This window comes from Homo sapiens, chromosome X, assembly GCF_000001405.40.
Source record: "Homo sapiens chromosome X, GRCh38.p14 Primary Assembly".
Classification (NCBI taxonomy): Eukaryota; Metazoa; Chordata; class Mammalia; order Primates; family Hominidae; genus Homo; species Homo sapiens.
The window spans coordinates 72871508-72885809 of NC_000023.11; the positions used below are offsets into that span (position 1 = coordinate 72871508).

The window sequence follows — 14302 nt, forward strand, 5'->3', positions numbered from 1 at the left end:
TCCTTCAAGGAAGTTTGGTTTGGCCCAGATATAGGGCTTAAAGAAGAAACCCGAGCCAACGTTTAAAGTTGAGTGATTTTATGTAGAAATCTAGAATTCCATCTTCTCTTGAAAAAACAGTCAATTTGGCCACCATGAGTCGCTATCCCTGCATGGCAACAATTGCCTGGAGCCAAGCAGCAGCTGCCCACTTACGCAGAGCATACACTGTCAGTTTGGCCAGAGGCCATCGGGCCTGCTCTACTCATTTACATGATCTGCTTGATCCTACAGGCATTGCCACTTACGGCCCTCTGGGCAACTGGAAACAGTCTATGCCAGGCAGAGGGTAGGTACTTCCTTGCTCAATGAATACATACCCTACTCTTTTTCCTCTACCATTTTCTTATCTAGCCATGTTAGGAAATCCCAGTTATTGGATAAGGTGATTCTCACTTTGAAACATGAATTGAACAAATCGGTTAGAGTCGCGATAGTCTGGGTTATACTGTGGTAACAAACAACCCGTATATCACAGTGCCTTATAACAACAACGGTTTATTATTTGTTCACGTACATAAACCTAGACACAAAGTGAAAACATCTTCATGTTTCCACATGCAGGGGTATACACATGAGTGCACAGGTATGTCAGCAATCACAAGACGAATAAAAACTCTGGCATATGAACTCACACAGAACCCCACTGAGAGACTGATCAACTTAGATTGCACAATCCTGTCTTTATGAGACAGAAAAAGGCCCCAGCATCCAAAAGAGTAAGGGACAGAGGTACAAGAATATCCACCCTCAGCCAAGGAGTTGCCCCATATAATAAAAAGCTTATAAAACACCTGAAGGCTTTAAAAAAAGACGTTAAGCGTTTTGGACGTTAACCATTTTGCACATTCAGAAACTGGATACCAAATAGGCAGTGCTCTATTGAGGCCTCCTCCTCTGGGTTCCTAGCTCAAGAGGGAGATGCATCCCAGATGTCCAATAGGCAGCGAGATGGAGCTGGCTGGCCTGGGGCGGAGAGAGGGGCTGGGAGGCTGGAATCCTTTATCTCCAGCAGGAGCTGTGGACAGAAAGGAAGGGGCCAGAGCCAGGTCACATCCACATCCCCTTCCAGATCTACTCTTTTTATGCGTCCCGCCCAACCAAAGATTTGTCACCTGGACTGTTGCATAGACCTCTTCCTCTCTGATTTCCCCATCTCCCATCTTGCCTCCCCCAATCCTTCCATCAAAGCCACCACAACTCTTTTTGTCAAGCTCAGGGTCTCTGAAATTGTTCTCCCTAGCTCAGAAAACGTTCCCTGGCTCCTCACTACCCACAGTTGCTGGTCCAGCCTCCTAAGCCTGACCTGTCAGACCTCTGTGATTGGTATCCTCTCCAGCCTCATCCCTTTCTGTTCCAGCAGTCCCTCCAGGGGTGTTTCTTCACTGACACACCATGCTCCATTCACCATTTGGATCTGGGAATGCCTAGCCTTCCCTCCCAGCCTCCCCAGTTGTTTATCCCCCCTCGGAGCTCCTCCAGCCCCTCCTCTCTGGGCACATCGTTAAAATTTGGCCACAAAACACAGCTTGCAAGGGCATCCAGGCTCCACATCTAGACTGGAAGCTCCCGGAAGGCAGAGACCAGACCTCCTTCCAGACCAAGCCCTTTATCACCTCTGTATGTCCTCCCCAGACCACAGTAGGCCACAGGCGGCTGAGCATAGACCCTGGGCTGAAAGTCAAGAGGGCCGGTTCTTCCACTTGATATGCTGCATGCATATCAGAGAGGGCAAGTCCCTGCCACTCTCAGGGCCTCAGCTTCCTTCTTTCTTGACATCAGGGCACTGAACGCTTGCTGTTGCACACAAAGCTCAATAAACCGAAGATTCAATAAACAGCCCTCAACTACCATCTCGGGAGTCATACTGAGGAGCTTGGGTGCCTGGCCCCAAGGAGATTCAACTTACTGACTCTGATTTTTCAGTTAGAACCTGCTTACCACAACGACCCCCATTCCCCAGCTATTCCCACCCTGTATTCTCCTTTCAGGGAGCAGGCTACCTGGTGGGTTGCAAGGCTGGTGCAGGGAGATGGAGTCAGGAGGGGCCTGGGCAGAGTTTCTCAGAGTCAGCAGAGCCTCAGCGGCCTCCAGCTTCCGCTGCCACTCTGAGTGGGCAGAAACCAAAGCCTGGTCAGAGACTTTGGGGACCTGGAAAGGAAAGTGCATGAGAGAATAGGCACTGGGAAACTACACCTCTTCCCAATACGACAAGTGCCCCTTCAGCCCCCTGTTCCCTCAACCTCCTCCCCCACCCCCACCAAGGCCTTCTGCTCTTCCCATCCACTAAACTCCGCCCCTCCCAGGGTTCTGGACCCCACTACTTTCCCAGGACCTGTGGCTGCAGTAGAAGAGGGTCAAGGGTGGCACAGGGCTGGAGGATCAGAGTTGAGCATCTAGAAACAAGGAAAGGAGAGGCCAGGGGATTAAATCCGCTGGCGGACACATACTACCAGTAGACAGAAAGAGGGGCAGGATTTTGCAGTATCTGGATGTGAGAATCCCAATGCCTGCTGGACCATTAGTCATTGTGGCTGGGGCAAGTCCCTTCTCCTGCTTGGCCAGGTTTCTTTTCCATACCTCTTTTTCCTGACAGGGACGCTTATTCCTACCAGCTCTTTCCTCCCAGGGCAATGGTGAAAATCATGGGAAATTACAGGTGTCCGTGCTTTAATTTGCAAAACACCTGGAGAGATGTGATTACTGTCCCTCTTCAGGGACTGGTTCTCACTTCCATATTGCCCAGTCCCCATGGGTCTTGAAGGGTCTCCAGGAAGCTTTCTCTAATGGCCTCTGGGCTTTGCCCTGGGCCTCTGTGGCCCTCGCCAGCACGGACCCCACCTTTCAGCAGGACCTTCTATCCCATCCACCTGTTTCATGTGGCATAACAACCCCCATTTGTTGAAGCCCTACTATGTGGCAGGCCTTGTGCCCGTTCCCTTTTCAATGCTATGGGTATAGAATATTGTCCTCAGTACATCCATAGGGAAATGGAGGTTCAGACACATAAAGTCACTTGTCCAAAGTCTCACAAATAGAAAATAGCAAAGCTAGGAGAGCCCTGTCCTCGCCCGTTAGTATTAGATGCTGCCTTGCCCTCCTCCTTCTTCTCCTCCTCCTCCTCTCCCTCCTCCTCCTCCTCCTCCTCCTCCTGCTCCTCCTCCCCCTCCACCACCTCCTCCTCCTCCTCCCCCTCTTCCTCCTCCATCTCCCACGGCATCAAGGACAAGGTTAGGCACACAAGACACAACCTGCTCCATGGTCCTCACGCTACTCACATGCTGGGCAGGGCAGGGGCCCTGTGGGGATCCCCAGAAGGAGAAACCAGTTGCTGCTCCAAGGTCACTGGAGTACAGGGCAGAGACAAAGGTTCTGGGGCCTGGCCAAGCAGCAGAGCCCCTTGGGAGCTCCCCTGCAGGGGCAGAGAGCACAGGTTGCAGTCAGGTACCAGGCCAGCCATGGAGAGAGGAGGTGTGGACATGTTTTAGGATGAGGATAGGAGCCTAGAATGTCAGAGCTCCGAAGACCTTGAAGACCAGCCAGTCTTGCCTTTCATTTTGCAACTGGGGAAATTGAGGCCCAGGGAGGAGAAGTGATATTTCCCAAGGTCACATGGTGAGCTGGTGATAGGATTGGAGATGAAACCCATGTCCTTGGGACACGGTGAAAGATGTCTGGACAGTGGCTGGGTGGGAGCCTGCCCGACTGGTCACCGACTCTCCTTACCTCCTCGGGGGCTGTGAAGATGTGGGTCTCGGGCTGCAGCATGTTGTTCTCCTTCCCAGCTGTGAAAGACCAGGAACAGCTTTGGTGAGTCTTTCCCCCAACCCCACCCCACTTCACCCCACCTCCAGTCGCAGGTCTCATCTCACCATGGAGCTCTTCGATTGCCCTGTCCCCCAGCTCTCTCCTTCCTACAAACACTTGGTAGACAACATTGGTGACATTTTGCACCTGGGCACACTAAGGTCCAGGGAGCAATTTGCCCCAGGTCGCACTGCAATTCTGTGACAGGACTGGTGACAGAACCACTCATGCTTCCTCCACCCAAACTCTGGCTCCCTCCCTTGCCAGAAACACTCACTGAGGGCTCCTGCTCTGATGGTCAAATTCCTGACACGGATGGGAGCTTTGGGAGGGGCAGCCATACTCCTTATTGGTCCTTGAGCCAGGTGTCTCTTTGATCGTGCCCGCTGCTCCCTCTTCAAGGCACTCACAGCAGGCAAGACCCTGAGGCGTTCTCTGAAGCAAAGGATAGCAGGGCTAAGATTAGTCCCATTTAGAGGAGGTCTGGCCCCTCCGCATCTCAGACACCATACTCATGAGAAGAGGGCACAATTGTGACACTCGCAGGCCTGGAAGAGGCAGAAATGCTTGTGGCCCCTGATTTGGGCAGTGATACCCAAATGGTTGTGGCAGCGGTCACAGCAACCTATAGCTCTTCTGGGGCCAAGTTCAGTCCCCCATGGGGCTCCAGTCTGACGCCCTGTGGTGCATTCAGAGTCAGAGGGGCAGCAGGGTGCAGCGGGTATTTATTTGTCCTCAGTACATCCATAGGGAAATGGAGGTTCAGACACACGGGATCCATGCTTCTAGGGTCAGGAGCGGAGGTCAGAATGGCCACGTGATCCCCTACCCCCAACGTACTTCCTCTGCCCTTGGAAAACCCTATCTGAGGTGGCTCAATGCTCCTTCTCCATCCTTCTCACCGCTGGAATCAGATTGCCTTCCCTCCCCTTCTTCTCCCATGGTTTTCGCCAACCTTCACTGCAACCCCCTTGCTGATGTTGCCTCCTTCCCAGAAGCCCCACTCACACATAGCCCCCTCCCAAGAAACTCTTGGAATGGATCCCATACCCATTCAATGCAGTCATTATTCTCCTTGCTTACCGTCACTTCACCATAGACCCCACTTTCAGGCATGCACATGCACTCCCCTGCCCTCTTCCACCATTACTACACGCCCTTCTTGTGTATCATCCTGCACTCTGCCAAACCCAAGTATTATTCCTGGCATCCACTTCACCAATTCTCTTCAGAACCTCCTGCATTCATTCACTCCCCGCACAGGATTTTGTGCCACCAGCACTCAATTCCATTGTCAGTCTCTTCTATGCCCTATATTCAATTTTCCCCTCACATTTCATGCTGGTTCATGCTGATTTTTTTCTTGTACTCCACCTTACACTTAATTATTCCCTTGCTCCCCCTTTGAGCTGATTTCCCTCTTGTATCCCATGAAATCATATTGTTCTCCTGGATCCCTGGCCCTCTTTCAGTTACTAATTTCATTCATCCCTTCATGCATCCCCCCCGGCCTTTTTTTTTTTTTTTTTTTTTGAGACGGAGTTTCACTCGTTACCCAGGCTGGAGGGCAATGGTGTGATCTCGGCTCACTGCAACCTCTGCCTCCCGGGTTCAAGTGATTCTCCTGCCTCATCCTCCCGAGTAGCTGGGATTACAGGTGCCTGCCACCACGCCTGGCTAATTTTTTGTATTTTTTTTTTTTTTAGACGGAGTCTCGCTCTGTCGCCCAGGCGGGAGTGCAGTGGCGCAATCTCGGCTCACTGCAAGCTCCGCCTCCCGGGTTCACGCCATTCTCCTGCCTCAGCCTCCCGCGTAGCTGGGACTACAGGCGCCCGCCATCACGCCCGGCTAATTTTTTTGTACTTTTAGTAGAGACGGGGTTTCGCCGTGTTAGCCAGGATGGTCTCGATCTCCTGACCTCGTGATCCGCCCGCCTCGGCCTCCCAAAGTGCTGGGATTACAGGCGTGAGCCACCGCGCCCCGCCATTTTTTGTATTTTTTAATAGAGACGGGGTTTCACATGTTGGCCAGGCTGATCCACCTGCCTCGGCCTCCCAAGGTGCTGGGATTACAGGCGTGAGCCACCGGGCCCGGCCGATTCCCTTGATTCTTCATTCAGCAGGTACCTGTTGAGCCTCCTATGAAGTGTCAGGTTCTGATCTAGCCAGTAGGGAACTCCTCAGTGCAGTAGTGTTTCTCTTGGACTCACACACCTTTTCTGCTTTCATGAAAACCCACACATTCCCTCCACAGCCTCCCCAAAATCTTCCATAATCCTCTCCACACTTCAACAATTGTGCTTGAGCACACCATTTCCCCCCACCCCCACCCCACCCCACACACGCAGTCCCACCACCCTGGAGCGCACCACTTCCTCAGGAAGCCCAATCATCCACTCCCTCCCGGACCTCCGAATCAAAAGCAATCCCATGAGCCCTGCCTCATTGGCCAAAGGCCAGGGCTCAGGGGGCTGGAGCAAGGAGTCCTCCCGAAAGGGATTCCGGGAGAGCTGAGGGCGCGATGGGACATCAGGAGCAGTTGGGGGTTCCCTGCTGAGGTAGCAGAGAGGGGAAGGGGTTGGGAATCTGGCTCAGGAGGGTGGGAGGAAATAAGAGGCGTGGAGAACGAGGACCTAATTCTGATGTCAGCCTGTGGTTGCCTCAGCCTCCGGCAAGTCAGAACCAGTCAGACGGTCTGAGGGAAGATCCAGCTTCTGCTTCCCTTCCCGCTCTTGCCACAAAGGCCAATGAGCTCTTGCGCTGCCTTCGACCTCCCGCCGCTGTGGCTGGCGACCAATGAACCTCGAGATCTCTTGACGCTCACGTTCTGAGGCCACGCCCCCATCACCTCCCCGTAGCTTCTCCCGCTCCCTGTACTAGGTCAGTCAAGAAATCGTGAAGTGATCGTTGAGCTTTATGCTCCCCAGGGCTTGTTTCCCAGATTAGTCTCCCTTTGGGTGTGAAATATTTGGTGTGCATGCATTTATAACTCATGTACTTGGTATTTTGTAATTTACCTTTTAAAAATTCAGCATGTGATTAAAGATCCATCCATATTTCCATGCCGCGGATTCCCAATCAGTGGTGACTTTGCAACCCCCAGGGAACAATGCTTGGAGACACTTTCGTCCATATTTGTGTGTCTCTGTTTATGAACTCCCTGTTATGTTCCACAGATAAATGTGTCTATTCCTGTACCACTACTAAATTGTCTTAAATTTTTTCACTTCGCAATACATCTTGACATCTGCTAGGGCAAGTCCCTGCATGGTGTTCATCATCTCCAAACACATCTTTGCTATTCTTTGCCATTCTTTGCCTTCTTGTCCTTCCGCACGAATTAGTATGCAATGTCAAGTCTCCCCAGACTCAGTCGTAACAGCTTTGGATTGCATTTTCACTGAATCTATGGATCAGTTAGGGGGAGAATCTACTATCTGTAGAATACTCAGCCTTCCTGTTCACCAACTTGGGATGTCTCCACTTATGTGCGTCCTTAATGTTTTAATCTTTCAGTTCAGTTTTTAGTTTCATCTTTTGTATATTTAGATCTTGCACATCATTTATTGTATTTATTCCAAGATACTGTAGATTGTTGCTGTTCTTGTACTTGATGTCTGTTTAAAAGGACAATTTCTATTTGGATCGAATTTACAGAAATGCCTTTAACTTTTAAAAACGTGACTTGATCTTAAAGTCTGTCAACATGCTAAACTCTATAGTAGGCGTTCTGGGATTATCTGTGAGTTTATGCATAGTAGAAATAGAATTGAAGTTATGGGGGTTTTTTGTTTGTTTTTTTTTTTTTTTTTTTTTTTGGTTGGTTGGCTGTTTGTTTTTTAACAGCGCTGGCTAGGAAATTTAGTACCAGATCTAATAGCGACAGCAAAATTGGGCTTCTTTGGGTTGTTCCGGATTTTAAAAGGAATGCTGCCAGCATTTCCATATTAATATTGTTTCCTTGTGTTTTCCTTAACTTTTCGTTTCCTTTTCTTTGCTTTCCTTTCCCTTCCCTTCCCTTCCCTTCCCTTCCCTTCCTTTCCTTTCCGTTCTTTCCTTTCCTCCTTCCTTCCTTCCTTTCTTCTTCCTCTCTCCCTACACCACACCACCTCCACCCCCGAATGTCTTAGGCCTTTTGTCCTTCTGCATAAATTAGCATGCAATTTCAAGTTTCCCAAAAACTCGGTTGTAACAGATTTGGACTGCATTTTCACTGAATCTATGGATCAGTTATGGGAGAATCCATTATCTCTAGAATACCCAGCCTAGGTAACTTCCCAGGTTTTTTCCAAAACCTTCAGCCAAGTTTAACTTATAATCCAAAAGGTTAAAAAATCATAAATGTATATCTTAATCAGTTTTCTATCTCTTTCTTTCTTTTCCTTTCTTTCTTTCTTTCTTACCCTTTCTTTCTCCCTTTCTCTCTCTCTTTCTCTTTCTCCTTCCTTCCTTCCTCCCTCCCTCCTTCCCTCCCTCCCACCCTTCCTTCCTTCCTTCCTTCCTTCCTTCCTTGGGCTGCTTTCTTTATTTGATTTGTAAACAAAGAAGAAACAAAAAAGCAGCCCCTCACTCTGTCACCCAGGCTGCTGAAGTGCAGTGTCGTGATCTTGGCTCACTGCAACCTCCACCTCCTGGGCTCAAGCAATCCTCCTGCCTCAGCCTCTCAAGTACCTGGGACTACAGGCACACGACCATCCCCAGCTAATTTTCGTATATTTTGTAGAGACGGGGTTTCTCCATGTTGCCCAGGCTATCGTGAACTCCTGGGACTACAGGCACACGACCATCCCCAGCTAATTTTCGTATATTTTGTAGAGACGGGGTTTCTCCATGTTGCCCAGGCTATCGTGAACTCCTGGGCCCAAGCAGTCCGCCCGACAAAAGTGCTGGGATTACAGGTGTGAGCCACCAAGCCAGGCCTCTTAATGAGTTTTCAAAAATTAAATATACGCATGCAATTAGTATCTAGAACAGGCAACAAAATATATGAGCAACACACAAACCTCTCTCGGGTCCCCTTCCAGTTACAGCTTTGCTAATGTCAAACCAGCTTTCCTCTCCCATAGTAAATGTAACTTAGCTATGGTGTATTAATTTTTTTGTGTATGGTACATTAGAGCAGTGGTCCTAAAACACTAGCTTGCATCAGAATCACCCAGAGGGCTTGATAAAACAAAGATTTCTGAGCTCCGTATCTGTATTCTCAGACGACAAGATCTGGGGTGGGACCCAGAGTTTGCTTTGCTTTGCTTTGCTTTGCTTTGCTTTGCTTTGCTTTGCTTTGCTTTGCTTTGCTTTGCTTTTTCTCTTTGCTTTGCTTTGCTTTTTCTCTTTTCTTTCTTTCTTTTTTTTTTTTTTTTTGACGGAGTTTCGCTCTTGTTGCCCAGGTTTCAGTGCAATGGCGCGATCTCGGCTCACCGCAAACTCCGCCACCCGGGTTCAAGATATTCTCCTGCCTCAGCCTCCCGAGTAGCTGGGATTACAGGCATTCACCACCACGCCCGGTTAATTTTGTATTTTCAGTAGAGACGGGGTTTCTCCGTGTTGGTCAGGCTGGTCTCGAACTCCTGACCTCAGGTGATCCACCCGCCTGGGCCTCCCAAAGTGCTGGGATTACAGGCGTGAGCCACCAGGCTCGGCCGAGTTTGCTTAGCAAACAAGTTCCCTGGTGATGCTAACACTGCTGGTAGGGGACCACATTTTGAGAACGACAGCACAAGAGAGGATAACATAAGGAACCTCCAAATATCCATCTCCCAACTGCAACCATTAACGACTCATGGCCAATCACATTTCATACATATCCTCTCCTCTCCCCCTCCTCCAGATTATTTTCAAGCAAATATCAGAAATCAAAAAAGTACAAAAATCATACGTGGATATCTTAATGTATCTTATTTGATTTGTAAACATTTCAGTGCGTAACTCTAAATATGAGGAATCTATTTTCCTCAACGTTTTATTTTGAAAATACACAAAGCTGAGGGGGTAATACAGTGAACAATCTGATGCCTAGATTCACGTTGTCTCATTGCTTTATCTCTCAGTAATTTTTTTCTTGCCTAACCACGTAGCAGTTCCAAACACTTCACCCAGTTACTTCAGCATGCACCTCCTAAACACTAGAATGTACTCCTATGAAACCGCAGTGCCATTATCACATTGAAGAAATGTAACAATGAAGGGGTAATACTATCCAAGTTCACATACAGTTCATATTTAAATTTCACCAAATGTCCCAATAATATCCTTTTGAAAGACTTTTTGGGGGATCAACAATCCAGTCAAGCATGGTACACTGCACACAGTTGTCATGTCTCTTTAGTGTCCTCTAATTGCAAACAGTACCCCCAAACAATTTTTTAAACCTTCCATGACGATGACATTTTTTCCAGAGCCGAGGCCTGTTGTCTCGTAAAGTGTCCCACAATACGGGCTGGCCTGATATTTGCCTCTTGTTTATATTTATGTTTGACACTTTGGGTACGAATATTAAGAAGGTGATGAGCAGTTCACATTATGTCACATCTGGAGGCTCCTAACGCCAGTTTCTCTAGTTATCGGTGATGCTGTTTGTATTCATCAGTTTTATCACTTAACTAAGGTATTTTTCAGACAGAGTACTACACTGGGAAGGTACTTCTCTCCCTTTGTGATTAATAAGTAGTCTGTCAGGATATTTCGATGACATGCGGATATTCTGCTCTCCAACAGAATTTTACCTCTTGGCCTTAGTATTCATTCAGGGCTCCTGCCCGATTTGATTATTACTTTGTTGGTTAAAAAGTGGTGATTTCTCTAATTCTATAATTCATTTCTGCTTTTATGGATGGGCATTTTGATGTAAAAAAGCTCATCTCACCCCCTCCCCCACCTCGTTGTTGTCGATGTTGCATTTGCTGTGGCAGAGACAGAGCACAAGCTGTTTATTCGTTTTGTTGAAAGAAATGTAAAGAGAATAAACTGGACAATATTAAGAGAAATGTAAGCAAATACATGATGAATTTGATAAGAATTTTCCCTCTAACAGTCTAATCAGATTGACAAAATTCGTTGCCTGAAATTAGAATTAATTGGTCAGCAATAGCAAAAAAGGCAGTTTATGATAATTATTAAGAGGATCTGAGGTTATTAATTTGGCCAACTAAAAAATGGCTCGGATCTTGTAGAATACACACACACAGACACACACACACACACATTTTTGGTGGAGACCTCATAAAAAGGTATTGTTATTTCAGTTACATAACGCATAATAGAAAATTATGAGACCACATATATAATATTTTACAGAACGCAGAAGGCCTTCACCTAAGTCGCCACTCAAATGTCCATGTAATACAAGACCTTTCTAACAGTATGGAAGAATAATTGATTCAAAGTCTGAAAAATTTCAACTACCTTACTTTTAGCATTACATGAATCATGGGAAATTTTGTCTCCAAGAACTTTCCAATTTGCAAAGACACGCTCGTAGCATGAAAAATTGAACTCATAGTGCAGTTATTTGGGTATCATGTCTACCTCTTAGAAAGGAAATCGAGTTAATTGTGAAAGACATCGCAGAAACTAGTTTCTATGGTGAAAGGCAGGGATCTGGCTGTTAGTTCAAAAATCAAATTTTGTTGTGATTTAAGTCAAGAGTCTGATGTTTCTTTTATTTCTTCTTTCCATTGTATGATTCATATTGAAAACATAAGGGCTTAGCTTCCTAAAGTCAACTATATGAAAAGTTTCATAACTATAGTTATTAAAGTCATTCAGTAAATATGCACAGAGGCAGTGAATCATCATAGGCTTATTTTGTCAGTCTTTGTTGAGTTTTGTATGTTTTGTTGGTCTTCTTAAAGACCTCGGTTTTTATTTATTGATTTTCTCTATTATTTTTCAGGTTTCCATTTCATTGATTATTTTACCTATCTTTCACATTTCCTTCCTTCTGCTTCTTTTGCTCCTCTTTTTCTAGTTTAGTGTAGTGACATCATAGATTACTGCTTTGATAATTTTCCATTTGTCTAATGGAAGCACTTAATGGCATAAATTTTCCTTTCAACAATGCTTTAGCTTTGCACCACAGATGTTGACATGTTTTATAATCATTTCCATTCAGTTCAATTCACTTTCTGAAGTCCTGGAAGATTTAGTCTTCAGTATTCTTTTTATTTAAATTGGCCAATAAAAATTGTATATATTTGTGGTGTACAACATGATGTTTTGATAATAAGTATACACTGTGAAATGGCTAAATCAAGGTAATTATCATATGCATTACCTCACATACTTACCATTTTTTGTGTGTGGTGAGAACACCTAAAAACTACTCTCAGCAAATTTCAAGTATACAGCATATTGTTATTAACCATAGTCACCACGGTGTAGAATAGATCTTTTGAAATTATTCCTCCTGTCTAGCTGAAAGTTTGTACCCTTTGGTCAACATCTCCCCCACTCCCCCAAACTCCAGCCTCTGGTAACCACCATTCCACTCGCTACCTCTAAAAGATCGACTTTTTCACCTTCCACACATGGAAATGCCACGTGTTGTTGGAAACGCCATGATTTCCTTCTTTTACATGGCAGAACAGTATTCCATTGTGTATATAGACCACACTTTTCTTTATTCGTTAATCCGCTGATGAACACTTAGGTTCATTGTAAGTCTTGGCTATTGTGAATAGTGATGCAGTGAAGATGGGAGTGCAGATATCTCTCTGACATGCTGATTTCATAGCTTTTGAATATAGTCCCAGAAGTGGGGAGGCTAGGTCATATGGTAGTTCTATTTTAACTTTATGAGGAACCTTCACACTGTTTTCCATAATGGCTCTCCTAGTTTACATCTGGAAGATTTTCTCTTTAGCCCATGGATTGAGTGGCATCCTTAACACTGAGTGGTGGTGAAAATCCTGACATCATCCCAGCAGGGACAAAGAGGGGTGTCTCCTTATGGCCTGGTGGGAGTATATGTTGGAGATCTCCACATAATCCTGGTGATATGATAGCGCAAAGGGGCCCTCGTCTCTGCCCATGGAAATGAATGTGGAAGTCTACGCTCCCCACTAGATCTTTGCTGGCATGAGTGGGGAAGGGGCCACAGAGTTTTCTGAGGTGTTCGACTGGAGTAGAGCAGTTATTGTGAAAAATATTTTCTGTCTTGTTTGGCTGCCTCTTTTCTGATCCTTAGGCTAGGCAGAACAGGCTTTTGTAGGTTTATTTCTTTGTTTCTTCACCTGTTTTGTTTAGTTTTGTTTCGTTTTGCCTGTGCATTTTGGCATTCCCTAGTAGCTGGTTTCTTCAGCTCCAAGTTTGGGATATATCAGGCAAAAACAAAACCCAAGGAACTCACCACCATGTCGTTCTGAGGTCCCCAGTTGGTCTACTTTCTTCTCTCCACTTCCAGCCTTATGTTTGTTTTATATATAGTGTCTAGAATTTTAAGTTGTACTTAGTGGGAAGAATAGGGAAATGTACAACTACACCATCTTTCCATCTTTCCAGAAGCAGCGGTCTCTATAAATTTATTTTATTTAAAAAAGCAAAAAATAATTATATATATTTGTGGGGTACAATACGATGTTTTGATATATGTATACAATGCGGAATGATTAAACTAAGCTAATTAGCATATCCATCTCCTCACCTACCTATCATTCTTTTGTGGCGAGAACATTTACAATCTACTCTTTTAGCAGTTTCAAAATACGTAATACATTATTTTTAACTAGAAATGCTGTGCAATAGATCACTAAAGCTTCTTGCTCCTGTCTAACTGGAACTTTGTACTCTTTGACCAACATCTTCCCTTGCCGTATCCCCCCCAAGCCCCGTCACCCCCAGCCTCTGGCAACCATCATTCTACTCTCTGCTTCTATTAGATCAACTTTTTAAGATTCCACATGAGTGAGATCATGTGGTATTTGTCTTCCTTTTTTTTCTTTTATTTTTTAGTTGACACATAGTAGTTGTGCATATTTACGAGGTACAGAGTGATATTTTGATACATCCATTCAATGTGTAATGACTATACCAGAGTAATTAGGGTATCCATCACCTCAAACATTTATCATTCCTTTGTGCTGGAAACATTCAAAATCCCCTCTTCCAGCTTTTTCTTAGCATATACTATACGATACTGTTAACTGTATTCAACCTACAGTGCTATAGAACACTAGAACTTATTCCTCCTATCGATCTGTAATATTGTATCCATTAGCCAACCTCTCTCTATCCTCCCCTCCCCTCTATACTTCCCAGCCTCTAGTAACCACAATTCTACTCTCTACTTCTATGAGCCCAGTTTCCTTCAGCTTCCACATATGAGTGAGAACGTGTGGTATTTGTGTCTTTCTGTGCCTACCTTGTGTCACTTAACATAAAATCCTCCAGGTTCATTCATGTTGCCTCGAATGACAGGACTTCATTCTTTCTGGTAGCCGAATAATGTTCTATTGTGCATA

The 14302-nt window shown here is 45.7% G+C and overlaps 1 protein-coding gene across 4 annotated transcripts in view; it reads right to left on the reverse strand.

The window, feature by feature from the left end:
* Window positions 1–517: 517 nt before the first annotated feature.
* The window catches only part of DMRTC1 (DMRT like family C1), a 71813-nt gene continuing 58028 nt past the window's right edge, over window positions 518–14302 (reverse strand). Inside the window, exons 2-7 of one of the 4 annotated variants that reach the window (NM_001386923.1) lie at window positions 4190–4281; window positions 3766–3824; window positions 3318–3451; window positions 2375–2435; window positions 2043–2190; window positions 518–1057 (exon numbers count right to left, since the gene is read on the reverse strand). In NM_001386923.1, coding sequence (NP_001373852.1) covers window positions 945–1057; window positions 2043–2190; window positions 2375–2435; window positions 3318–3451; window positions 3766–3807 — 498 coding nt within the window. In that variant the 5' untranslated portion in view covers window positions 3808–3824; window positions 4190–4281 and the 3' untranslated portion in view covers window positions 518–944. Of the gene's footprint in view, window positions 1058–2042; window positions 2191–2374; window positions 2436–3317; window positions 3452–3765; window positions 3825–4123; window positions 4282–14302 lie in introns of all 4 variants that reach the window. The other 3 variants (NM_033053.3, NR_170342.1, NM_001386924.1) reach the window with 3 other exon arrangements.